This window comes from Homo sapiens, chromosome 1 (genome assembly GCF_000001405.40).
Source record: "Homo sapiens chromosome 1, GRCh38.p14 Primary Assembly".
Lineage (NCBI taxonomy): Eukaryota > Metazoa > Chordata > Mammalia > Primates > Hominidae > Homo > Homo sapiens.
In genome coordinates this window covers 109,329,964-109,354,744 of record NC_000001.11, presented here as the reverse complement: position 1 = coordinate 109,354,744, position 24,781 = coordinate 109,329,964, and the positions used below count along the sequence as shown (strand labels likewise).

The window sequence follows — 24,781 nt, the reverse complement described above, 5'->3', positions numbered from 1 at the left end:
CACAGATATGATGTCCCAGCTCAGTTCAGGGTGTTATTTTTTTATAAGAATAAGACCCAAGGGGTAGAGTGGAACAACTAATCAGTTTTTATAACTCTTCTTATTTCTAGAACTAAAATTTCTTAACTAATGTCTGGTGAAAATGGTGTAAGAACTCCTGTGCTTGCATAGATAGTATCATACCCTGAATCAGATCTTTCCTCTTCCTATCAGGTGGTGTTAACAGCAGAGGTGTCTGGAGGAAGTCGTGGAGGAAGAATCTTTAGATCATCAGATTTTGCGAAGAATTTTGTGCAAACAGATCTCCCTTTTCATCCTCTCACTCAGATGATGTATAGCCCTCAGAATTCTGATTATCTTTTAGCTCTCAGCACTGAAGTAAGTCCAGTTGAGGAACATGGTTTGCCTTTTGCATTTTATAGTCTCAAATGTACTGTCTTAGAAGGATCCTTTAGGAAATGCTTTTAATATTGGACTTCTTTCAAGTCTCCTTATGGCATGAAGTATGTATTTTTTTGACGTTTTTTCCTATTTGGTAAAGGACACGATTTCCACATGCTATCTATTCCAGGTAAGTGTGATGCCTAGTTGTCACTGTAATTTTTTTAAGTGACTAAATGTATGGTATTGGAGTAATGAACTAGAAAACAGTTTAATTTAATCATTCTTGTGCTACAAGGGACAAGCATAAATTGTCAAACTCCTGATGTTGTCATTGTTCCTTTTCTATGATCAAACAACATCTTTCTAATTTTTTTCTTTTTTGTTATGTCCTCAGTTTATAAAACATACTGATTTCTGTCTTTGACCCTCATGTATTAAATATCCAAAGTCTTAAATCCCTGCGCTCCCTACCACGTTCCTATACTTTCCCCAGAGACCAGTGTGTTTCCCTAACCCTCCCACTTCTCAAAGTTCTCTGAGGAACACATTCAGCTTCTCCTTTCCTGGAGGACCAGTCTCCTTTACTGTGGTTAAGGGCCCAAAGTGGCTGAGTTGCTAGACTATAATAATCAGAATTATACTTTACATTTTTATGGCCTTCTCTCATCAGATAGAAACACCTGAGGAGCTAGTTCAAGAGGCACATCCCTTTGCCCAAACCCAGATATAATAAATCAATGACTACTGTTGTGGGGTGGCTAATATTTTTAGCAGGCTCCCCAGCTGAGCCTGAGCACCAAAGTTTGAGAGTCATTGCTGTACTGACTGTTTTGGGGTCCAAAACAAGATCATCAACCGTGAACAAGTCAGGCTGAGCAAAGGATGACATAGGAGGACGAAGGGCACTGGAAGAGAGGTCTGGGTTCTGGGCTTTCTGTGGGGAGATTTTTGAGCAGAGGTGAGGCTGAGGGGCACCAGGAGGGCCAGAGTTATGTTTTTTTTGCTTTTGTTTTTTTTTTTTTTTTTTTTTTTGAGACAGAGTTTTGCTCTTCTTGCCCAGGCTGGAGTGCAATGGCTCAATCTGGTCTCACTGCAACCTCCGCCTCCCGGGTACAAGTGCTTCTCCTGCCTCAGCCTCCAGAGTAGCTGAGATTACAGGCATGTGCACCCAGGCCCAGCTAATTTTTTTGTATTTTTAGTAGAGACAGGGTTTCACCATGTTGGCCAGGCTGGTCTCGAACTCCTGACCTCAGGTGATCTGCCCGCCTCAGCCTCCCAAAGTGCTGGGATTACAGGTGTGAGCCACTGTGTCCGGCCTCAGAGTTAGCCTAGCAGTGGAGGCCAGAGGAAGGAAACTAGCTTGCTGGGGAGTAAGCTTCAGATCTTAGAACAACAATTCCTGGAAATTGGCCTCCAGCCGCTTAAGCTGAAAGCACTATAAGGGAGCAAGGAGTGAACAGACCCATAGAGCTCCCCTTTGACTACTGCATCTTCCTTACCAAGTGTCTCAGGGTTATTAAAACAGCACTGTCCTCAGGAAGAGACAGATACAGTCTGCTTCTGTACCTGAAATTTCTTCCATTTAAGGGTAAATCTGAAGTACATATAATTGGGATGGAGAAGAGGGACCAATTTGTACTAAAGTGCAAATCAGTGGTATCAAATTCTGCCTTGTCTTTATAAGTAGAATTAGGTAAATTAGAAATGCTAGGATGTGAGTATTACCAGGGGAGAAAAAGTTAGAGGAGAATGGTGGGTGAGAGTACAGGAGTACTGAACATAAATTCTGCCTAAATAAGTTACATTTAATTTCAGCTAGACTAGGACATCTCTGTCCCATCTCCACTGAGGCGGAGCTCAGTAAGCTCACATTGCCGGTGTAATGTTGTCAGTCAGAATTTTGTTAAGTCTCTGCTACATTTCAAACTATTGGCCAATCCCTCCTTTTGAGAACTCTAATTGTTTGGCTTCTGTGACATTATTCCTTTTAGTTCCTTCCTTAACCTCCTTTCAGCCTACCCTTAAATGCCTACTCCTCATTTCACTGAGCATTCTCTTCCACTCTTACCATTTAGCTACCACCACCTATAATGTATAAGATTTTCAAATCCTTATCTCTAGCCCTGGCTTTCCCCTAATGCATCATATTCCTGTCTTGCTGCCCCCTGAATATCTCTAGCTGGATGTTCCACAAGCACCTTAAATCAATTTAAAACTGAGCTTCCTCCCTACTCTTCTCTCAGACCTGATCTTCTTCCCTTAATCCTTATACTAGTTAATGATATCACAATGCATCCTATACCCCAACCAGGAAACTAGAGTGACCAACTTACATGCATGTGCATGCACGTGCGTACACACACACACACACACACACACACACACACACACACACCCCTACCTCTCATCCTGCCCTGCAGGAGAAGTCATCCCGTTCTACTATGCTAGCTTCTAAATTCTTGCAGAGCCTGTTCCTCATGGCCAGTGTTCAAGACCTCATTAGCTCTTACCGAACTAATGTGGCAGTCATTCCCTGCTTTTCCTTGCCTCTAGTCTGGACCCTCTGAAATCCATCTTTCCCATTCACGTCCAAGTACTCCACCTAAGAAAGTGAAACGGACTGTGTCATCCTCCTGCTTAGCACACATTCCTCCTGAGAGCACCTCATATGCAATAAACCCTGGAGTCCTTACCATGGCACAGAAGGAAGGCTCTCTGTGAGCTGGCCTCACCTTTCTGCCTAGCGTTAGTTCCTCATTTGCTTACCTTGGAATTTGCACTCAGGTAATGCCTGATGGCTTTTAGCTCCCTGCACACACTGCAGGGTTTATGACCTCCTTGCGTTTGCTAATACTAGTCTCTCTTTGTGCAGCAACACCTCATCTCCCTGTTTGCCTTCTTTTGGTCCCACTGCTCATCATTTAAAACTCAGTGCACCTGTCTTCTTCAGGACACCATCTCTGATGCAATGTTCCTCCTCTCCTCACTTCTATACTAGACCATATTTTATAACTCTGCATAGTGTTGAACTTTCTTCTTATCTATGCGCCTTGTTAAACTGTGAGCCCCTTCTCTCAGCAGGGAGTGTGTCTTATTCATCTTTGTATCCCCAGTGCAACATCTGGTACAGTGCCTGGCACATAATAGGCACTTCATACGCATTTGTTATTCTGAACTTCCAAGACCCCAAAAGGGCCCAGATAAACTACGTGTGTGTCTGTGGAGCTCGGGCAGCTCTGATGGAGCTTCAGTATGTGTTTTTCCTGTCCTGAATGATTGGATATGAAATATTAAAGGTCATACAAGCAACTACACAGGATAAAGCTAGAATTTTGATAAGTCATTTATAATCTTTCAGAATGGCCTGTGGGTGTCCAAGAATTTTGGGGGAAAATGGGAAGAAATCCACAAAGCAGTATGTTTGGCCAAATGGTGAGTAACAGAAGACTCCATCTGTGCAGAGCCCTAAACCCTTCCTGATAGCGCTGCCAAAAATCACATGAATAAATATTGAGCACTTACTGTGTGCCAAGTACTCTTCAGGGTGCCATAAGAGATATTGGAGAGGGGTGTGACACAGGCCTTGACCTGGAGGAGCTTCTCATTCTGCTGGAAAAGAAGACTTAGTCTCACTTAAATGTTAGAACATAAAGTATAAAACAAGGCAGGTGACTGAGTTGCTGCTGCCTGCCCAGGGTTCATTCTCCATGAATGGTGACATCAATTAAAATACAATAAAATATAGCTTTAATTTAGGGATTTAAATACTTCTCCATGCCCAGATTTACCCTCTTGTCTAGAGTTCCATTTCAGTCATGTAGAACATGGCAAGGAATCAGGAAGAAAGCTGAAAGAGCTTCCAGACTCCTGAAGTCACATTGCGCACCACAACTCATTCACTTTTCTCGGAGAGATTCCCTGCCCCTCCGGGTGCCTGCTTAAAGAGGATGGAGTGGAGGGAGCTCTTACTTGGGAGTCTCGTCACCTTTGTTCTGTCCTCACTCTGCTGCTAGTCAGGGGCTCAACCTTTCTGGGCTTTAGTTTTTTCCTTTTGTGAAAGGAGGCTTATTTGGAGAATGTGGGGATGGCTAAGCAAGAACTGAATTAACAGGCTTCATGCCTCCAAAATCTGATTAGGCTCAGAATGTTGTTTAGAGCCTCTTTCTCCTTTCCCTTTGACTAATTTCAGCTAATTTGTGAATCCCAGTTTATAGCAGATTGGTTACAGAGGTAGGATATGTAACTGCTGCAATAAGCACGTAACAGCATTAGAATTACAGCCTGAGAGCTGGAAGGAGGTGGAATTACTCTAAAAGAGCAGACAAAAACTTAGAGAATAAACAGTATTAAATTATTTAGTGCTAGATCAAGAAAGTACACCTGTGTTAGTAACTTCTAATGGGAACACTGTGTTATAGTTTGATAGAATTGATGTTCATGATGATGACCCACAATCCCAAGAGTTTCCTGTACTCTAGGAATCAGGAAAGTGTAGAATACAGATTTGAAATATGTCTACCAAGATTGATTAAAATATTAAATATATTGCTTAAATAAAGTAGGCCTTTTCTAGAAATGTTCTTGTTCTTGAGATAGGGTATTGCTCTTTTGTCCAGGCTAGAGTACAGTGGCACAGGCATGGCTTACCACAGCCTTGACCTCCTGGACTTAAGTGATCCTTCTGCCTCAGCCTCCCAAGTAGCTGGGACTACAGGCATGTGCCACCATGCCTAGCTAATTTTTGTATTTTTATTTTGTAGAGATAGGGGGTCTCACTATGTTGCCCAGGCTGGTCTCAAACTCCTGTGCTAAAGCAATCCTTCCTCCTCAGCCTCCCAGAGTACTGGGATTATAGGTATGGGCTACCATGCCTAGCCCCAGAAATGTTTTTTTAATGAGGTTTTTATAGCACCACTCTGTTACACATGCCACATTTGCTTTCGTTTTATGTATTCTAATGAATTGTATTTGTACCTTATACAGTTTTATCAGGAAGGAAGGAATTTTTTTTTTCTTGAGACGGAGTCTTGCTCTGTTGCCCAGGCTGGGGTGCTGTGGTGCAATCTCGGCTCACTGCAGTCTCCACCTCCCAGGTTCAAGTGATTCTCCTGCCTCAGCCTCCTGAGTAGCTGGGATTACAGGCATGTGCCACCACACCCAGCTAACTTTTGTATTTTTAGTAGCAATGGGGTTTCACCATGTTGGCCAAGCTGGTCTCAAACTCCTGACCTCCTGATCCGCCCACCTCAGCCTCCCAAAAGTGCTGGGATTACAGGGCATGAGCCACCGTACCAGGTGGAAGTAATTTTTAAGATAACTAAGTTAAATTGTTTCACTCCTGATGGAACTAAAACATGTAGGTCATGTGTAAATAATTTTTTTTTCTTTTTTTAAGATAAGGCCTGGCTCTGTCACCCAGGCTGGGATGTAGTGGCACGATCTCTGCTCATTGCAGCCTCTGCCTCCTGGGCTCAAGTGATCCTCGCACTTCAGCCTTCCCAGTCGCTGGAACTACAGGCATACACCTGGCTAAGTTTTGTTAAATTTTAATCATTAAAACTCATCTTTAGCCAAGTGCAGTGGCTCATACCCCTAATCCAAGCACTTTGGGAGGCTGAGATGGAAGGATTGCTTGAGACCAGGAATTCAAGACCAGCCTGGGCAACAGAGTGAGACCCCATCTCTACAAAAAATTAATGAAAAAAAAAGCCAAGCATGGTGGTGCACACCTGTAGTCCTCGTTACTCAAGAGAATGAGATGGGAGGATCACTTTAGCCGAGGAGTTCGAGGCTGCAGTGAGCTGTGATTGCACCACTGCACTCCAAACTAGGTGACAGAGCAAGACTCCGTCACTTAAATAAACAAACAAAACCTTATCTTTAAAACTAAAAAGTTATTTTAAAATAGGATTTTGTTTTGTATCCTATGCAAGGTTTTTACTTTTGTAACATGTTTTTTTTTTTTTGTTTAGTGTCTAAATATGAATAACCAGGATGCTGCTGTTTACTCACCTTTTTAGATCTCTAGTTTCTAGGAATTTACAACCAAAAGTTCTGAAAGAACATGCTCAAAACCAACACCTTTTTTTGGTTGCAATCCAGTAAGTGCCAGGAGGGTCTGAATCTAGTTCCCTGCAAACTCCCTTTCCAGGTTACATTTTAAATAATTCAACCTCCGACCTAGTTGTCCATTTGAGATGGAAGAACTAAATTATTTAACTCATACAAAGCATTGAACTAGATTCTGAAGGGAAACAGCAAAGTATAGTACCTGCCCTGAAGAAGCTAATTTATATAGTAGGAAAGGTAAGGCATATACTATGCAAGTAAAATAAAAAACAGGCAAATGCATGCCAAGTGGCTGTGCAGATGGTACAGTGCTCTAAAACAGAGTTTCTCAACCTCAGCACTAATGACATTTTGGATCAAAGAATTCTTTATTGTGGAGGACCGTCCTGTGCATCATAAAATGTGTAGCAACATCCCTGGCCTCTACCCGGTAGATGCCAATAACACCTCCGCCACCCACCCCTCAGTTGTGATGATCAAAAATGTCAGAGGCAAATGTTGAGAGGGTGAGTAGACCAGCATGACTGCCTGAAAGAGTTCACGTAAAGAAGTGGTGGACTGTAGACAACACATGGGCCGGGCAGTGGGGAGCTTGACAGGCAGAGCTGTGAAGGACCAGGGCTCAGCGCCTGAGAAGTGGTGCTTGTCAGTGCCTGTGAATGAAGCTTGTTAGACCTGCTAGGAAGTTTGTGAGTAAGGTCAACACAGTCCTTCAGCAGTCTTAAACCATTTCTTTTCCCTGTTTTTGCCTCATTGTAGGGGATCAGACAACACCATCTTCTTTACAACCTATGCAAATGGCTCCTGCAGTAAGTATATTTTAGTCCCAGAAAATAATGTCCTGTTGTCCATTCATGGTAGAATTTTCTGGGTTGTGCAAGGTAGAAACATAAAAGGTCCCTCCATTCTCCTGAAATTGTAATAGCTAAAGAAAGCTGTTAGTGGTTATTAAAATCTTGAAAGTAAAACCAAATTACTACACTACCCAGATCAAGTAAAAATATAGGCTATACGTAGAGGCAATATTTAATCTTAGCAATGTATTTATGTAAAGCAAATATTATGCTACAGACAATAGCAAATTGAAATGCATGGTTATTTCTACAGGAAAGCAAGGGTTGTGTTTGTGTTTGCAGAAGCAGCTGGCTTCCCAAACTCTGACACAACTTCAAAACAGAAAGCAAAATCTTTCATTTACTCATTCAACAGATATTTGAGCACCTGCTCATATGCTAAACACTGTTCTAAGGATGGAGAGAAGAAAACACCCAAGGCCTGCCCTCATGGAACGTAAATTCAGGAAAACCAAAACTCCAGCTGGGCATGATGGTTGCATGCCTGCAGTCCCAGCTACTTGGGAGGCTGAGACAGCAGGATTGCTTGAGCCCAGAAGTTCAAGGACAGCTTGGGCAATGTGGCAAGACCCCCAGCCCTTAAAAGAAAAGAAAAGAAAACTCAAGACAATTTAAAATAGGATAAGATAATTCCAAACTGTGCCATGAAGAAAGTAAAGCAGCATGCTGTGGCTTTTTTTTTTTTTTTTTTTTGAGACGGAGTCTTGCTCTGTCGCCCAGGCTGGAGTGCAGTGGCGCCATCTCCGCTCACTGCAAGCTCCGCCTCCTGGGTTTACACCATTCTCCTGCCTCAGCCTCCTGTGTAGCTGGGACTACAGACGCCTGTCACCACGCCCGGCTAATTTTTTGTATTTTTAGTAGAGATGGGGTTTCACCGTGTTAGCCAGGGTGGTCTTGAACTCCTGACCTCGTGATCCACCCGGCTCGGCCTCCCAAAGTGCTGGGATTACAGGCGTGAGCCACCGCACCCGTCTGCTGTGGCTTTGATGTTTTTATGAAACACTGTATTAGAATTAAGTAATCTCTTACCTTTCCATTGAGCATAAAATCTGAAATGTATAAAATAAAACACAAATATGAATTGCCTATATCTAATGCTGTATCACTTTTTTTTTTTTTTTTTATGAGACGGAGTCTTGCTCTGTCATACAGGCTGGAGCACAGTGGCGCGATCTCTGCCCACTGAAAACTCTGCATCCCGGGTTCACGCCATTCTCCTGCCTCAGCCTCCCGAGTAGCTGGGACTACAGGCGCCCACCACCACGCCTGGCTAAATTTTTTTGTATTTTTAGTACAGATGGGGTTTCATGGTGTTAGCCAGTTTGGTCTCTATCTCCTGACCTCGTGATCCGCCCACCTCAGCCTCCCAAAGTGCTGGGATTACAGGCATGAGCCACTGCGCCTGGCCGCTGTATCACATTTTATGTTGTCACTTGATTAACATGCATAGTATTTAAAATGCTTTAGCTATAAAATTAAGATTGATTCTAAAACAACTGCTTTGAACTAGGCTCACCAGTAAGTGAAATTTTAATTAATATTTTGTCTTGTTTAAGAAGCTGACCTTGGGGCTCTGGAATTATGGAGAACTTCAGACTTGGGAAAAAGCTTCAAAACTATTGGTGTGAAAATCTACTCATTTGGTCTTGGGGGACGTTTCCTTTTTGCCTCTGTGATGGCTGATAAGGTAGGTATTGCCCTCTCCCCTTTGGGGTCTGATATTTCTGCAAATATCTCTCGTATAGATTCTCTTTATTACTTGGCATTGACAGAGTTTCTTGTCTTTTTGTTATATTTAGTACCACTGTGAGTGTTAGGGGTGATTCTTTTTGCAAAGGCTGATTGACTGATAGGCTACTCTGCACTTTGGCCTTCTGTCACCATGTGAATTCTGTTATCTTTTTTGGGATTTTTTTTTTTTTTGAAACAAAGTCTCTCTCTGTTGCCTAGGCTGGAGTGCAGTGACGCAATCTCGGCTCACTGCACCCTCCGCCTCCCAGATTAAAGCAATTCACCTGCCTCAACCTCCCAAGTAAGTGGGACTATAGGTGTGCACCACCACACCCGGATAATTTTTGTATTTTTAGTAGAGATGGGGTTTTGCCATGTTGGCCGGGCTGGTCTTGAACTCCTGAGCTCAGGTGATCCCCCCGCCTCAGCCTCCCAAAGTGCTGGGATTATAGGCGTGAGCCACCGCGCCCGGCCAGGATATTTTGATCCAGTGTTTGGGCATTACTCAGACAATGGACATCTGTAGAAAGCAATCTCTTGCTCATTATCCAAGAATAAAAATACAATTAGATAACATTAATTGAGTGCCTACTATATGCTAGGTACTATTCTAAGTCCCAGGAATATGGCAGTGAACAAAACAGATGAATTTCCTGCTCTCAGAACTTATGTTTAAGGGGGAAAATAAATACTCAAAAAATAAATATGAAGGCTGGGGGTAGTGGCTCACACTTGTAATCTCAGGACTTTGGGAGGCTGAGGCGGGTGGATCCCTTGAGCCCAGGAATTCAAGACCAGCCTGGGCAACATGACAAAACCCTGTCTCTACAAAAAATAAGAAAATTAGCCAGGCATGGTGGCATGTGCCTGTAGTCTCAGCTACTTGGGAGGCTGAGGTGGGAGGATCATCTGAGCCTGGGGAGGTTGAGGCTGCAGTGAGCTGTGATCATGCCACTGCATTCCAGCCTGGGTAACAGCACAAGACCCTGTCTCATAAATAAATATAAATGTGAGTGTGTGTGTATCAGGTAATAATTAAAGCCGCGAAGAAATCTAAAACAGTAAGAAAACAAAGTGTCAGGAGTCAGTGCTCTTTTAGACAGACTGTTTAGGATGGGCTCTCTGAGACCTAAGTGAAACAAGAACTTGACCATGTGGCCATCTGGGAGGAGAGTAGGATGAGGCACAGCCAGTGCAGAGACCCTCAGACTGGAGCATGCCCGATCAATCCAAGCAAAGGGGAGAAGGGCAGTATGGGGGGAGCACAGAGAATAATAGTCCAAAGTGGGGCCAGAGGGGGCCTGGCCAGACCTTATGTGGCCTTTGTAGATCACAATTAGGATGTGGGCCTTACTCTTCTTGTGTTGGGAGCTGTGAGAGGGTTGTGAGCAGGGGAATGCTGAGATTTGGCTTCTCTTTTGAAGAATAGGTGTGCGCAGAACAGCCTGACAGGGGCACGCGCAGAAGCAGCGGGAGCGCCGGGAGCTCTCTCAGGAGTCCAAGCTGGGGAGGTGGTAGCTTGGCCAGGCTCTTGGCAGTGGGTAAGGGGGCAGGTGGTGAGACTGTGGATACATTTTTAAACATATTACTAATAGGACTTGCTGATGGATTTGATGTGGGTTGTGAGAGAATGAGTGGAATCAAGGGTACCTTTAAGAGTCTGTATCCTGAGCGCCTGAATGGTGGTGCCATTTTCTAGGATGGCAAAGACTGCAGGAGGAGCAGGTTGTGGGAGAAAAATCAAGAATTCTGTTTTGGGCCGAGCATGGTGGCTCACGCCTTAATCCCAGCCCTTTAGGAGGCTAAGACGAGCAAATCACTTGAGGTCAGGAGTTTGAGAGCAGCCTGGCCAACATGGCGAAACCCTGTCTCTACTAAAAGATACAAAAAATTAGCCAAGCGTGGTGGCGCAGGCCTGTAATCCCAGCTACTCGGGAGGCTGATGCACAAGAATCAACTGGACTGTGGAGACGGAGGTTGCAGTGAGCCAAGATCATGCCACTGCACTCCAGCCTGGGAAACAGAGTGAGACTCTGTCTCAAAAAAAATAAAAAAAGAATTCAGTTCTGCATATGAGACACCTATTAGATATCTGAATGGAGATGTCAAGTGAGCATTTGGGTATATGAATCTCCCTAATTGCTATGGTATTTGAAGCCATGTGACCAGATGATACCTTCTGGAGGAGTAAGTAGGTAGCAAAGAGGTGGGAGGACTGAGCAAGCCCTGAAGCACCCACAACTGAAAGGTTGGAAAGAGAAGAATCCAGCAAAGAAGACTGAGAGGGAGGGATCCGGGAGGAAGAGGGAAATCAGGACCATTGAGTTAGGTGCATTCTGAGAATTATCCACTGGAGTTGGCGACGTGGAGGTTGTTGGTGACCTTGACAAAAGCACTTCATTGGAAGTTAAAAGGCCGATTGGAGTGACTTCAGTGAGAACTAGAGATGAAGAAGTAGGCAGTAAATACAGATAACTCTCCAAAGCCATTTTGTAATATCCTCCCAATAACCCTGTGAGCTAATAGTATTACCTCAGTTTTATAGGTGAGGAAATTGAGTAACTTACCTAGGGTCAACCAGTAGTGGAATCCTGCTGGAAATCAGACTCAAATTCCAGAGGTAGCTTCCTATGCTATACTGCATATATGGTATAATGCTGTCTACAGAATTAAAATTTTGCGATGTACTTTTGAACTCTGGTTTCTACCTACAGTAATGAGAATAAGATTCAAAGTAATGAGACATGTTGGTATAAGTTGAATAAGTTAAATGTACTTATCACTGAACTTTAAAGAGTATTTAATCTAAGGAAACACCGACATTAATTCTCATGCTCAGGCTAACTGTATCTAGTAGCGATGTTAAGCTATTTATCAGAGAGTTAAGTTTTAATTGCTTTCTTAACAGACTCTTTTCGTCAGCCAAATACTCCCTAATCAGTTTCCTTATAGTAATTTCCGACTCTCCTTGGCCTCTTTCCAGCCCATGCCTGTTCCCTTCATCCTGGCTATTCTGAGAGACTTCCTTAGAGAGAAGGCGTGTTACATCTTGACTTCCCTTGTGATCTCCCAAACATGGGTTTCATCTCTATTTTCTAGACCCTTAAGTATATAATTCTTTAAATTATGCAAGCACTGTATGAAAGGGACCAAACTTTTATGCAGTAGTCATCATTTTAAGAATTACCTGAGTGTATGCAAATGGCTATAAAGCCAACCTAATGTTCTCATCAAATCCTTAGCTCTACTGAAGGAGGTGGACTATCAGAGACCAAGACTATACTATCTTACAGGGCCGCATCAGAATGAAGAATTCAAAGAGAAAGCCAAGATAGCCTTACTTAGAATAGAATGGATTGTTCCTTTACCTAGAACTTTGCTAGGGGCTAGAAATTGCTTTGGTAATTGGTACTATGACCTTTCATTCATAGCAATCGTACCCAGTAGAGAAATGGATAATAGTAGTTATTTAAAACATTCTTGTTCATGTCCCTGCCCATGGCATCTTGGCAGAAAATTAGAAAGATAAATATTGACATCTGTTCTAGGATACAACAAGAAGGATCCACGTTTCAACAGATCAAGGGGACACATGGAGCATGGCCCAGCTCCCCTCCGTGGGACAGGAACAGTTCTATTCTATTCTGGCAGCAAATGATGACATGGTATTCATGCATGTAGATGAACCTGGAGGTAAGAGCTTTTTAGTGGCTTACCCTTAAAAGCATAGAGATGTAAGCTTTGAGCAGCTTTTATTTTTACATGTCGAGTTTTCCTCTTACCCCTAGAAATTTATTAGTGCCCTACTGATTTTTCTGTCCTAGAGATCATCTGTAGCCCCTGTTAAAAATGCCACTTGTTTTGGTAGCTTGTGTGTATGTTCAGGTGTTCTAGAGCAGAGCTGCTCAAAGAATGGTCAGCAGACTGGTACTGATTTGCAAACTATCTGTTACCAGATAAGTACAGAAATTGAGAGCAAGAGTTTGGAAACTCTTCTAGCCTTTTGACAAAGCAATTTTATGTCTGTTGGATCTAATGACAAAAAATTAGGGGTTTATGGCTGGGCGCAGTGGCTCACACCTGTAATCCTGGCACTTTGGGAGGCTGAGGCGGGCAGATCACGAGGTCAGGAGATCGAGACCGTCATGGCTAACACAGTGAAACCCCATCTCTACTACAAAAAATACAAAAAATTAGCTGGCCGTGGTGGCGAGCACCTATAGTCCCAGCTACTCAGGAGGCTGAGGCAGGAGAATGGCATGAACCCGGGAGGTGGAGCTTGCAGTGAGCTGAGATCGTGCCACTGCACTCCAGCCTGGGCAACAGAGCGAGACTCCATCTCAAAAAAAAAAAACTTAGGGGCATATATTTTGTTTACCTTTTCATTTTCTAATGATTAGTTTTTATTATGTTTTACAATAGCATCAGTTTGTGACATATTGGAAATCTTACAAATTGATCCTTCACTACAGATAGTTTGAGAAGCATTGTTCTAGAGTGTAAAGATTTAAAAATATGTAAACTAAACATAGGGCCTCTCCCACCAAAATATATCTGGGAAGAGTTTTTCTGTAGCATCTGATTAATTTATTCAACAAACTCAGCATCTGCCATATTCCAGGCACTAAGCTGGGTACTAGAATTAAAGATGGGCATAAAGATCTTGAGTATCAAACCTTGATTAATTCTCAGGTCTGAGTCTTCATCATGAAGAGACACAATTGGCTACTGTGTTTGGTCAGGCAGGTAATCGTGTGTGGTTAGACTATTGTTTTTCTCTTTGGTTCCACCCAAGACTTAGTATTTTTGTTTGTTTGCCTATTTCAGACACTGGGTTTGGCACAATCTTTACCTCAGATGATCGAGGCATTGTCTATTCCAAGTCTTTGGACCGACATCTCTACACTACCACAGGCGGAGAGACGGACTTTACCAACGTGACCTCCCTCCGCGGCGTCTACATAACAAGCGTGCTCTCCGAAGGTGAGTCTCGGCATCGCAGTGGTGTACTGTGCCTTCAGCTGCATGTGGTAGGATTTGAGGCTTCGGGGAACCTGTCCCCTAGTAATGTTGCTTGCCAAGCCAACAAGCCTACCCATGTACATTTTTTTGTTTCCTTTTTTTTTTTTATTGTGGCAATATGTCTAACAAAATTTGCAGTTTTTAACATTGTATAGGGTACAATTCAGTAGCATTAAGCACAGTCACAATGTTGCACAACCATCACCCCTATTTCCAGAGCTTTTTCATCATCCCAAATAGAAATTGCACCAGGTGCACAAGCACTCCTCGTTCCCCACCCAGTCACCCAGCTCTGGTAACCAACATTCTATTTTATGTCTCAATGAATTTGCCTATTCTAGGTAGCTCATGTAAGCAGAATCATACACTATTGGTTGTTGTATGTCTGGCTTCTTTCATTTTGCATATTGTTTCAAAGTTCAGCCACATTGCAGCATGTTTTAGAATTTCACTTATTGCTTTTTAAGACTAGAATATATTCCTTTGTTTGAATATAGCACCTTTTTTTTCTTTTTCTTTCTTTTTTTTTTTTTTTTTTGAGATGGAATCGCTCTGTTGCCCAGACTGGAGTGCGGTGGCGTGATCTCAGCTCACTGCAACCTTGGTCTCCCAAGTTCAAGGGATTCTCCTGCCTCAGCCTCCTGAGTAGCTGGGTTTACAGGTGTGTGCCACCACACCCAGCTAATTTTTGTATTTTTAGTAGAGATGGGGTTTCACCATGTTGGCCAGGTTGGTCTCGAGCTCCTGACCTCAGGTGATCTGCCTGCCTTGGCCTCCCAAAGTGCTGGGATTCCAGGCGTGAGCCACCATGCCCAGCCTGTTTTTTATTCCTCCATTGATGGACACTTAGGCTGTTTCCATTTTCAGCTCTTATGAATACTGAATGCTGCCATGAACATTGTTATACATGTAACTGTTTAAGTCAATGCTTTCAGTTCCTTTGGGGATATATGTAGGAGTGAAATAGCAGGATCACATGATAATTCCATGTTTCTCTTTTGGAGGAAATACCAATGGGTTTTCCACATGGTTGTACCATTTTACATGCAATACAAAAGGATTCCAATTTCTCTACTTCATTGCAAACACATTATATTCTCCTATTTTTGTAACAGCACTCCTAATGGGAGTGAAATACTATCTCGTTTATAGCTTTGATTTGCATTTCTCTAATGACTAAAGATGTTGAACAACTTTTTATATGCTCGTTGGCCATGTGAATATCTTCGTTGAGGAAGCTTCTAATTGAGTCCTATGGATGGCAGTGATTTTTAAAGTTGTGTTCACTGATGCTCCTCTGGTGCTTATGACAATTTTTGCACATAGTAGATGTTCAGTAATACTTGCCAAATGAGCCTACAAATAAACGGCTGAACAGCCTTGCACTCAAAACCATACAGTGAACACACTTGAAAAACATTTAAGACTGAGCCTTAAGTATGATAGGCAGGAATGGGGAGGGAAGGGCATTTTCAGCTGAAGGAAGTACACATGCAAAGTATCAGAGTCGCTGGGCGCGGTGGCTCACACCTGTAATCCCAGCACTTTGGGAGGCTGAGGCAGGTGGATCATGAGGTCAGGAGATCGAGACCATCCTGGCTAACACGGCGAAACCCCGTCTCTACTAAAAATACAAAAAATTAGCTGGGCGTGGTGGTGGACACCTGTAGTCCCAGCTACTCAGGAGACTGAGGCAGGAGAATGGCGTGAACCCGGGAGGCTGAGCTTGCAGTGAGCCAAGACCATGCCACTGCACTCCAGCCTGGGCAACAGAGTGAGACTGCATCTCAAAAAAAAAAAAAGTATCAGAGTCACAGGAGGGTTTGGCCTGGTGGTGGTGGTGAGACATTGGGTGATGCCGGGGGAGGAGGGATCAGGAGGACAGTCCAGCAGGGACAGACCAAACCCATGCAAATTCAGGCTCCCTATTTTAAATAAGTTATGATAAATAGAACTAGGAGTGAGGAGAGCAACAACAAGTAGAAAAAAAGATGTTTTGAATCTATGTTGTTTAGGTAATAAAGTGAGTCTTCTATATTGGGAGATGTAGGCCTATGAGAATAAGCCTGAATTTGACCCACTTCCTGCTCTTCTTGGTAAGGGTGCATAGCAGTAGCCAGCCAGGGTTCTTCTTGTGTTCTACTCAATGGCTCTACAGAGCTCACCTTTCCTTAGGCCCAGTTATACAAATAAACACATTAGTCTCAAGTACAAAGACTCTTAAAGTGTCATTTTATTTATATATTTATTTTTCGGTAGGAGGTAGGGGCTGTTTTTATTTTGTAAAGTCCTGGCAGTGGCCTACAAAGTCCTGGAGATATGGCTCCCGGTTTCCTCCCTGACTCACCTCCAGCGCTTCTCTTTCCATCTGCCCTACTCTCATCATACTGTCCACCTGCCAGTTCTTAACACAGCAGGTACACATGCACATGCACAGATTAGAGTTTGCACCGACAGTTCCCTCTGTTTCTCCAGATGTCCGCAAGGCTGATATGTCTGTACTCATGTATTACTTTTTGAATGAGACCTTCCCTGACTATCCTATTTTAAATTCCAGTTTGCCCTCGCCTCCTCACACACACACTATCAATCCACCTTTAGCTGCGCAAGTATTTTCCATAGTACTTATTTTCTAGCATACTACATAATTTACTTATTTACTATGTCTAGTGCTTGTCTCGCCCTACCGGAATGTATTTTTCACAATATTTGTCTGTTTAGTTCACTGATACATTACCAAAGGCTTACAAAAGTTTTCACTCTGGGTGTAGTGGCTCATGCGTGTAATCCTAGCACTTTGGGAGACCAAAGTGAGTGGATGACTTGAGGTCAGGAGTTGGAGAACAGCCTGGCCAATATGGTGAAACCCAGTCTGTACTAAAAATACAAATTAGCCAGACCTGGTGGCATGCACCTGTAGTCCCAGCTACTCAGGAGGCTGAGGCAGGAGAATCGCTTGAACCCGGGAGGCAGAGGTTGCAGTGAGCCGAGATGGTGCCACTGCGCTCCAGCCTGGGTGATAGAACAAGACTCTGTCTCAAAAAAAAGAGTTTTCACATAGTAGGCACTCAGTAGATGTTTGAGTAAATGAATTTTCCTTCATTTGCTTCCTTGTTTGCTTTTTCTTAGAAAACTCAAAGGAGCCCAGGCACAGTGGCTCACACCTGTAATCCCAGCACTTCGGGAGGCTGAGGCGGGTGAATCACCTGAGGTCAGAAGTTGGAGACCAGCCTGACCAACATGGTGAAACCCCGTCTCTACTAAAAATACCAAACATTAGCCAGGCGGCAGGTGCCTGTAATCCCATCTACTCCAGAGGTTGAGGCAGGAGAATTGCTTGAACCCAGGAGGCAGAGGTTGCAGTGAGCTGAGATTGTGCCATTGCACTCCAGCCTGGGCAACAAGAGCGAAAATCCATCTCAATAAATAAATAAATAAATAAAAATAAAGGAAAACTCAAAGGATATTATCTCTGAATTTAAAACCTGCAACAGTTTATATCATTGAAAATAAGAATGGGGAAGAGACGAGGGAAAAAAGAAAGGTACAAGAAAGATAGGATATGGAGTAGTGGAGAGACAATAATTCAGAGTTATTAATCCAGAACTCTGCACACTTACTGAATCTCAAGAGTCCCTAAAACAAGGCTAGTGTCATGGCCTTGTCCGAATAAAGATTAGGATGCCTTCCTGTGGTAGATTTTACTTCCCAGGCAAGCAAACAGGGAAGGAGAATGGACATCAGCCTGTTCATGTTGGTAAGGAGTTAAAAGGTATTTTTTTCAAAGAGTATCAGTCCTAAATAATTTGTGGAATTAATTGGGTCCTGTTCAGGTGGGACACCTTCTTCAAATATCTTTTTTTTTTTTTTTTCTGAGACAAGAGTTTTGCTCTTGTTGCCCAGGCTAGAGTGCAATGGCATGATCTTGACCCCCTGCAGCCCCCACCTCCCGGGTTCAAGTGATTCTCCTGTCCCGGCCTCCCGAGTAGCTGGGATTACAGGCCCCCACCACCACACCCGGCTAATTTTTTGTATTTTTGGTAGAGTCAGGGTTTCACCATGTTGGCCAGGCTGGTCTCAAACTCCTGACCTCAGGTGATCCACCTGCCTTGGCCTCCCAAAGTGCTGGGATTACAGGCATGAACCACTGCACCTGGCCTCAAATATCATATTTAAAGTGCTGCTCCGTTACCAACAATGAGCCGTTTTGTGAGGTGTTACAAGCTTGTCGGACTCCAGGTGCTATACGGTCTCAGGAGAGAGTCATGCAGTGATAAAGTGAATCTAACCTAGGTACTTCCAGTGTATCAGACTTAATGTTGTTCTCTTCCCATTCAGATAATTCTATCCAGACCATGATCACTTTTGACCAAGGAGGAAGGTGGACGCACCTGAGGAAGCCTGAAAACAGTGAATGTGATGCTACAGCAAAAAACAAGAATGAGGTTTGTTTACTCTAATGTGTGCAGAGCACAGCAGCCTTTCCATTGTGCTCTGATCAGTGCCAGCCTTTTGGATGATGAAGTTTCATACTTGATTAGGGTCCTCAGCATAAGGTGGAAAGTTTGGAGATGAGAGTAATGAAATTAACTTAGAATTTCGGAAGTAAGAACTGAGGAAAGGTCAAAATACTATGGATTATTTGTCTTTTAAAGAAGAACAAAACTGAGGGCTAACAATTTGTGGTTCACTAAACTGCTGAATTAAAACAATGGCCAGAGGGGCTGGTGATTAGTTAGGGGTCAGCTTGGCAGCTGGGAGACTTTAGAGGTTCTGCAAGAAGCCGCAGCTCCACCATTCATAAGCAGTGCACAGCCTTGCTCATCGGAAACAAGAGGAAGAGGATCTGGCCTTCCTTTCCCTCTGCCTAGGCTCCCATGGCCAGTGGGTGGTGACCTGCTTAGTGCACAGGGACGCAAGGCAGCCCCTGTTGCAGAGAGTTTGGGAACCGGAACTACGCAGGTGTCACTCCAGGAGATCTAAAGCCTGGAGTGACAGGCCTTGGCAGGCAAGGAAAAAAGGGAAAAAAAAAACAAGCTTTTTATCTGGCTCTCACAGAATGTGAGCTTGGGGGACAGCTGGAGTTCCTTCAGAAACTGAAGTACCGGTAGTTCCCGAACCCTCCTTAGTATCTGTATCACTGACATACACTTTGCTTTTCTAGGTGGGGTTTTCTGTTTTGTTTTAAGAGCCTCAAATGATGAGAGAAAGTGTGCCTTCCTACACCACCCCAACACACTCTCCTCCTTTACACTCGCAAGCACTGTTGCATCTACCCGACTTTCTGACCCCTGTTTCCCATCTGTCTGCCTTGGCCCTGCCCAGCCACTGCCCTCCTCACCTTAAGCCTGGGCAGGTTCAGTGGCCTCTGTGTTTGCCTTGCTGCCTGCAGGCTCCCCATGCCTCTCCCTGCCCAGCGCTCGTTGTGGCTCTCTTGGCCTGTGATGAATGGCCTCTGTCCCTGACCTGGTGAGTAAAGGTTCTCTCCTGGTGGGCCCTCTGCCACCTTTTCATTGTCATTGCTCACCTTATCCCTGACACACCCCTTGTAACCAACCCCCTGCCATTCCCTGAACACCCACACTATTCCTGGAGGAAGTTGGGCCTGTCTCCCCCAACCCCAGTTGACTAGGATTGGTGGAAATTCTAACCACCCTCAGTGACCATCCAGTTAGAGCTAATCATTCCTCTTCATTTCATTAATAGTTTGCTTGAACCTCTTCTTTTTAAAAAAATAGTAGTAAAATATACATAATATAATATTTATTATCATTTTAGCCATTTTGAACCCTTTTTAGAGTGTTAACTTTCATTCGGCTGTATACCTCAACTAGTTTCTGACAATACATTTCTTTTTTCCCCAGCTTTATGGAGGCATAATTGACAAAAATTGTATATTTACAATGTACACTGTGATGTTTTGATATATATATACATTGTGAAATGATTATCACAATCAAGCTAACTAACATATGCATCACCTCACAATTATCTTTTGTGTGTGTGGTGAGAACATTTAGGATCTATTCTCTTAGCAAACTTCAAGTAACAATACAGTATTCTAGACTGTAGTCACCATGTATATTTTCCCTCAGAAGCTTATTCATCCTGCATAACTGAAACTATGTACCCTTTGGCCTTCATCTCCCCATACCCCAAGCCCCAAAAGCCACCATTCTACTCCCTGCTTCTGTGAGTTTGACATTTTTACATTCCACTTATAAATGAGATCATGCAGTATTTGTCTTTCTGTGCTGGGCTTATTTTACTTAACATAATGCCTCCCAGGTTCATGTTTTCAACAGATGACAGGATTTCCTTCTTTTTTAAGGCTGAATAATATTCCATTTTCTTTGTCCATTCATCCATCTGTAGACGCTTAGGTTGATTCTGTAGCTTGGCTATTGTGAATAATACTGCAGTGGACATGGGAGCACAGATATCTTTTGGACATACCGATTTCATTTCTCTTGAATATGAACCCAGAAATGGGATTGCTGGTAGTTCTGTCCTTCATTTTCTTTTTTTTCTTTTTTTTAAAGACACAGTCTTGCCCCGTCACCAAGGCTGGAGTACAATAGCACGATCTTGGCTCACTTCAACCTCCGCCTCCCGGGTTCAGGTGATTCTCCTGCCTCAGCCTCCCAAGTAACTGAGATTACAGGCATGTGCCACCACGCCCGGCTAATTTTTTGTGTCTTTAGTAGTGACGGGGTTTCACCATATTGGCCAGGCTGGTCTCGAACTCCTGACCTCGTGATCCACCCGCCTCTGCCTCCCAAAGTACTGGGATTGCAGGCATGAGCCACCATGCTCGGCCCTGCTGTTATTCATTTTCTAGGAAAATTTCTTACGGTATTGCATAATGGCTGTACCAGTTTACATTCCCACCAACAGTGTACAGGGTTCCCTTTTTTCCATGTCCTTGCCAATACTTACCTTTTATCTCTTTGATAATAGCCATTCTAACTTGGGTGAGATAATATCTCATTGTGGTTTTTATTTGTATTTCCCTCATGATTAGTGATGTTGGGCATTTTTTCGTATACCTGTTGGCCATTTATATGTCTTCTTTTGATAAATGGCTGTTCAGGTCCTTTGCCCATTTTTTAGTTGGATTATTTGTTTTCTTGCTACTGATTTGTTTGGATATTAACCCCTTATAAGATGTATGGTTTGCAAGTATTTTCTCCCATTCTGTGTATTGTTTGTCTTCTCTCTTTTGGTGGTTTCCTTTATTTTGCAGAAGCTTTTTAGTTTGATACAATCTGATTTGTCTGTTTTTGTTTTTTGTTGCCTGTGCTTTTAGGGTCGTATCCAAAAAGCCATTGCCCAGATGAATGTCAAGAAGCTTTTTTCCCTATATTTCCTTCTAGTAGTTTTACAGTTTCAAGTCTTACATTTATGTCTCTAATCCATTTTGAGTTGATTTTTGTACATGACATGAAATAAGGATTGAGGCCAGGTGTGGTGGCTCACGCCTGTAATCCCAGCACTTTGGGAGGCCAAGGAGGGTGGATCACGAGGTCAGGAGATCGAGACCATCCTGGCCAACATGGTGAAATCCCGTCTCTACCAAAAATACAAAAATTAGCTGGGTATGGTGATGTGCACCTGTAGTCCCAGCTACTTGGGAGACTGAGGCAGGAGAATTGCTTGAACCTGGGAGGCGGAGGTTGCAGTGAGCCGAGACCGCACCATTGCACTCCAGCCTGGCGACAGAGCAAGACTCCATCTCAAAAAAAAGAAAGAAGGGTTGAAATTTATTCTTCTGCATATAGATATTCAGTTTTCCCAGCACCGTTTATTTAAGAGGCTGTCTTTTTCACATTGTGTGTTCTTGACACCCTTGTCAAAGTTAAGTTGACAATAAATGCATAGATTTATTTCTGTGCTCTCTATTCTGTTCCATTGGTCTATTTGTTTTTAACGCCAGTACCATGCTGTTTTGATTACTATAGCTCAATAATATATTTTGAAATTAGGTAGCATGATACCCCCAGCTTTGTTCTTTTTGCTTGCAATTACTTTGGTTATTCAGGGTCTTTTGTGGTTCCATATAAATTTTAGGATTTTTTCTATTTCTGTGAAAAATACCATTGGAATTTTTTTTAAGAGGCAAAGTCTTAGTCTGTCACCCTGACTGGGGTCCAGTGGAATAATCATAGGTCACTGCAGCCTCAAACTCCTAGGCTCACACAATCCTCCCACGTCCCAAGTAGCTAGGTGTGTACCACCACACCTGTCTAATTTTGGTACTTTTTGGTAGAGATGGGGTTTCACCATGTTGCCCAAGCTAGTCTTGAACTCCTGGCCTCAAGTGATCCTACCACCTCAGCCTCTCAGCTGGGATTACAGATGTGAGCCACCACAACTGGTTGTTTTGTTCTTGATGTACCTTAAGTACCTAAAACAGTGCCTGAAATATAGCAGGTACTCAGTAAACATCTGATGAATTAACGTGTTTGGATTGTTCTGTGTTGTCACAGAAAGAGGGTTATTTATAACCATATAATAGTAAAAAAAGACAGTCAAAATAATAGGCATTACATTTAATCTGTAGATCACTTTGGGTAGTATGGACATTTTAACAATATTAATTATTCCAATCCAGGAACATAGGATATATTTCCTTTTTTTTTTTTTTGTCATCTTCAATTTCTTTCATCAATGTTTTGTAGTTTTTAGTCTTTCACCTCCTTGGTTAAATTTATCCCTAAGTTTTTTTTGTTTTTTTTTTTTAAGTTTTTTTCTTGTACTATTGTAGATGAAATTTTCTTGATTTCTTTTTTGGATAGTTTGTTGTTAGTGTATATTGTATTTTTATATGTTGATTTTATATTCTGCAACTTTTTTGAATTTATTAGTTTTAACATTTTTGGTGGAGTCTTTAAAGATTAAGGATTTTTATATATAAGCTCATGTCACCTGCAGACAGACAATTTTACCTCTTTCTTTCTGGTTTGGATGCTTTTTGTTTTTATTTCTTTTTCTTACTTAATTGCTCCAGCTAGGACTTCCATTACTATAATGAACAGAAGTGGTGAGAATGGGCATCTTTGTCTTATTCCTGATCTTAGAGGAAAAGGTTTAGCTTTTGACTGTTTGAGTATGATGTTAGCTGTGGGCTTGTCACATATAGCCTTTATTATGTTGAGGTATATCCCTTTTATACCTAATTTATTGAGAGTTTTTATCATGAATGGGTTTATTATGTTGAGGTATATCCCTTTTATACCTAATTTATTGAGAGTTTTTATCATGAATGGGTGTTGAAATTTGTTAAGTGCTTTTTCTGGATTTATCAAGATGATATGATTTCTATCCTTCATTCTATTAATGTGGCATATCTCATTTATTGATTTGCATATGTTGAACCATCCTTGCATTCCACAGATAGATCCTACTTGATCATGGTATATAATCTGTTTAATATGCTGTTGAATTCAGTTTGTTAGTATTTTGTTGAGAATTTTTGCATCTATGTTCATCAGAGATATTGACCTGTAATTTTGTTTTCTTCTAGTGTCCTTGTCTGGTTTTGGTAGCAGGGTAATACCACCCTTATAAAATGAGTTTGGAAGTGTTCCATTCTCTTCAATTTTTGGAAGAGTTTGAGAAGGATCGGTCTTAATTCTTCTTTGAAGAAAGTTTGCTAGAATTCACCATTGAATCCATCAGGTCCTAGGCTTTTCTTGTTGGGAGGTTTTTGATTACTGATTGAGCCTCCTTACTCATATTAGTATGTTCAGATTTTCTATTTCTTCTTCATGATACAGTCTTGGTAAGCTGTATATGTCTAGAAATTCATCCATTTTTTTCTAGATTATCCAATTTGTTGATGTATAGTTGTTCATAGTAGTCTCTTAGGATCCTTTGTTTTTTCTGTAGTATAAGTTATAATGTCTCCTCTTACATTTCTGATTTTACTTGAGTCTTTTCTTTTTTTCTTATTCTAATTAAAAGTTTGTCACTTTTTTATCTTGTCAAAAAAAACAACTCTAAGTTTCATTGATCTTTCCTGTTATTTTTCTAACTTCTATTTCAGTTATTTCTGCTCTGTTATTATTTCCTCCCTTCTGCTAACTTTGGGCTTAGTTTGTTCTTTTTCTAGTTCCTTGAGGTATAAAGTTAAGATTTTTGAGATTTTTCTTTTTTCTTAATGTAGACATTTATCACCATAAACTTTCTTCTTAGAACTGCTTTTGCTGCATCCCTTAAGTTTTAATATGTTGTGTTTCCCTTTTCATTTGTCTCAAGTTTTTTTTATTTCCCTTTGACTCATTGGTTGTTCAAGAATATGTTGTTCAATTTCCACATTCATGTGAATTTTCCAATTTTCCTCCCTTTACTGATTCTAGTTTCATAATGTTGTAGTTGAAAAGAACTTGAGGCCAGGCACACTGGCTCACGCCTATAATCCTTGCACTTTGGGAGGCTGAGGTGGGTGGATCACGAGGTCAGGAGTTCAAGACCAGCCTGGCCGACTTGGTCTCTACTAAAAATACAAAAAAAAAATAGCTGGGCGTGGCAGCGGGTGCCTTTAATCCCAGCTACTCAGGAGGCTGAGGCAGAGAATTGTTTGAACCCGGGAGGCGGAGCTTGCAGTGAGCCAAGATCACGCCACTGCACTCCAGCCCAGGTGACAGAGTGAGACTCCGTCTCAAAAAAAAAAGAAAGGATACTTGAGGTGATTTCAGTCTTACATTTGTTAAGGCTTG

General features: G+C 42.3%; 1 protein-coding gene across 4 annotated transcripts in view; it reads left to right on the top strand.

Annotated features, from left to right (window-relative positions):
- The window catches only part of SORT1 (sortilin 1), an 88,344-nt gene that overhangs the window by 43,174 nt on the left and 20,389 nt on the right, over positions 1-24,781 (top strand). For 2 of the 4 annotated variants that reach the window (XM_005271100.3, NM_001205228.2), the window contains exons 5-11: positions 214-378; positions 3,743-3,816; positions 7,213-7,262; positions 8,867-8,994; positions 12,587-12,731; positions 13,866-14,021; positions 18,399-18,505. In XM_005271100.3, the coding sequence (XP_005271157.1) occupies positions 214-378; positions 3,743-3,816; positions 7,213-7,262; positions 8,867-8,994; positions 12,587-12,731; positions 13,866-14,021; positions 18,399-18,505 (825 nt within the window). Of the gene's footprint in view, positions 1-213; positions 379-3,742; positions 3,817-7,212; positions 7,263-8,863; positions 8,995-12,586; positions 12,732-13,865; positions 14,022-18,398; positions 18,506-24,781 lie in introns of all 4 variants that reach the window. The other 2 variants (NM_002959.7, XM_005271101.4) reach the window with 1 other exon arrangement.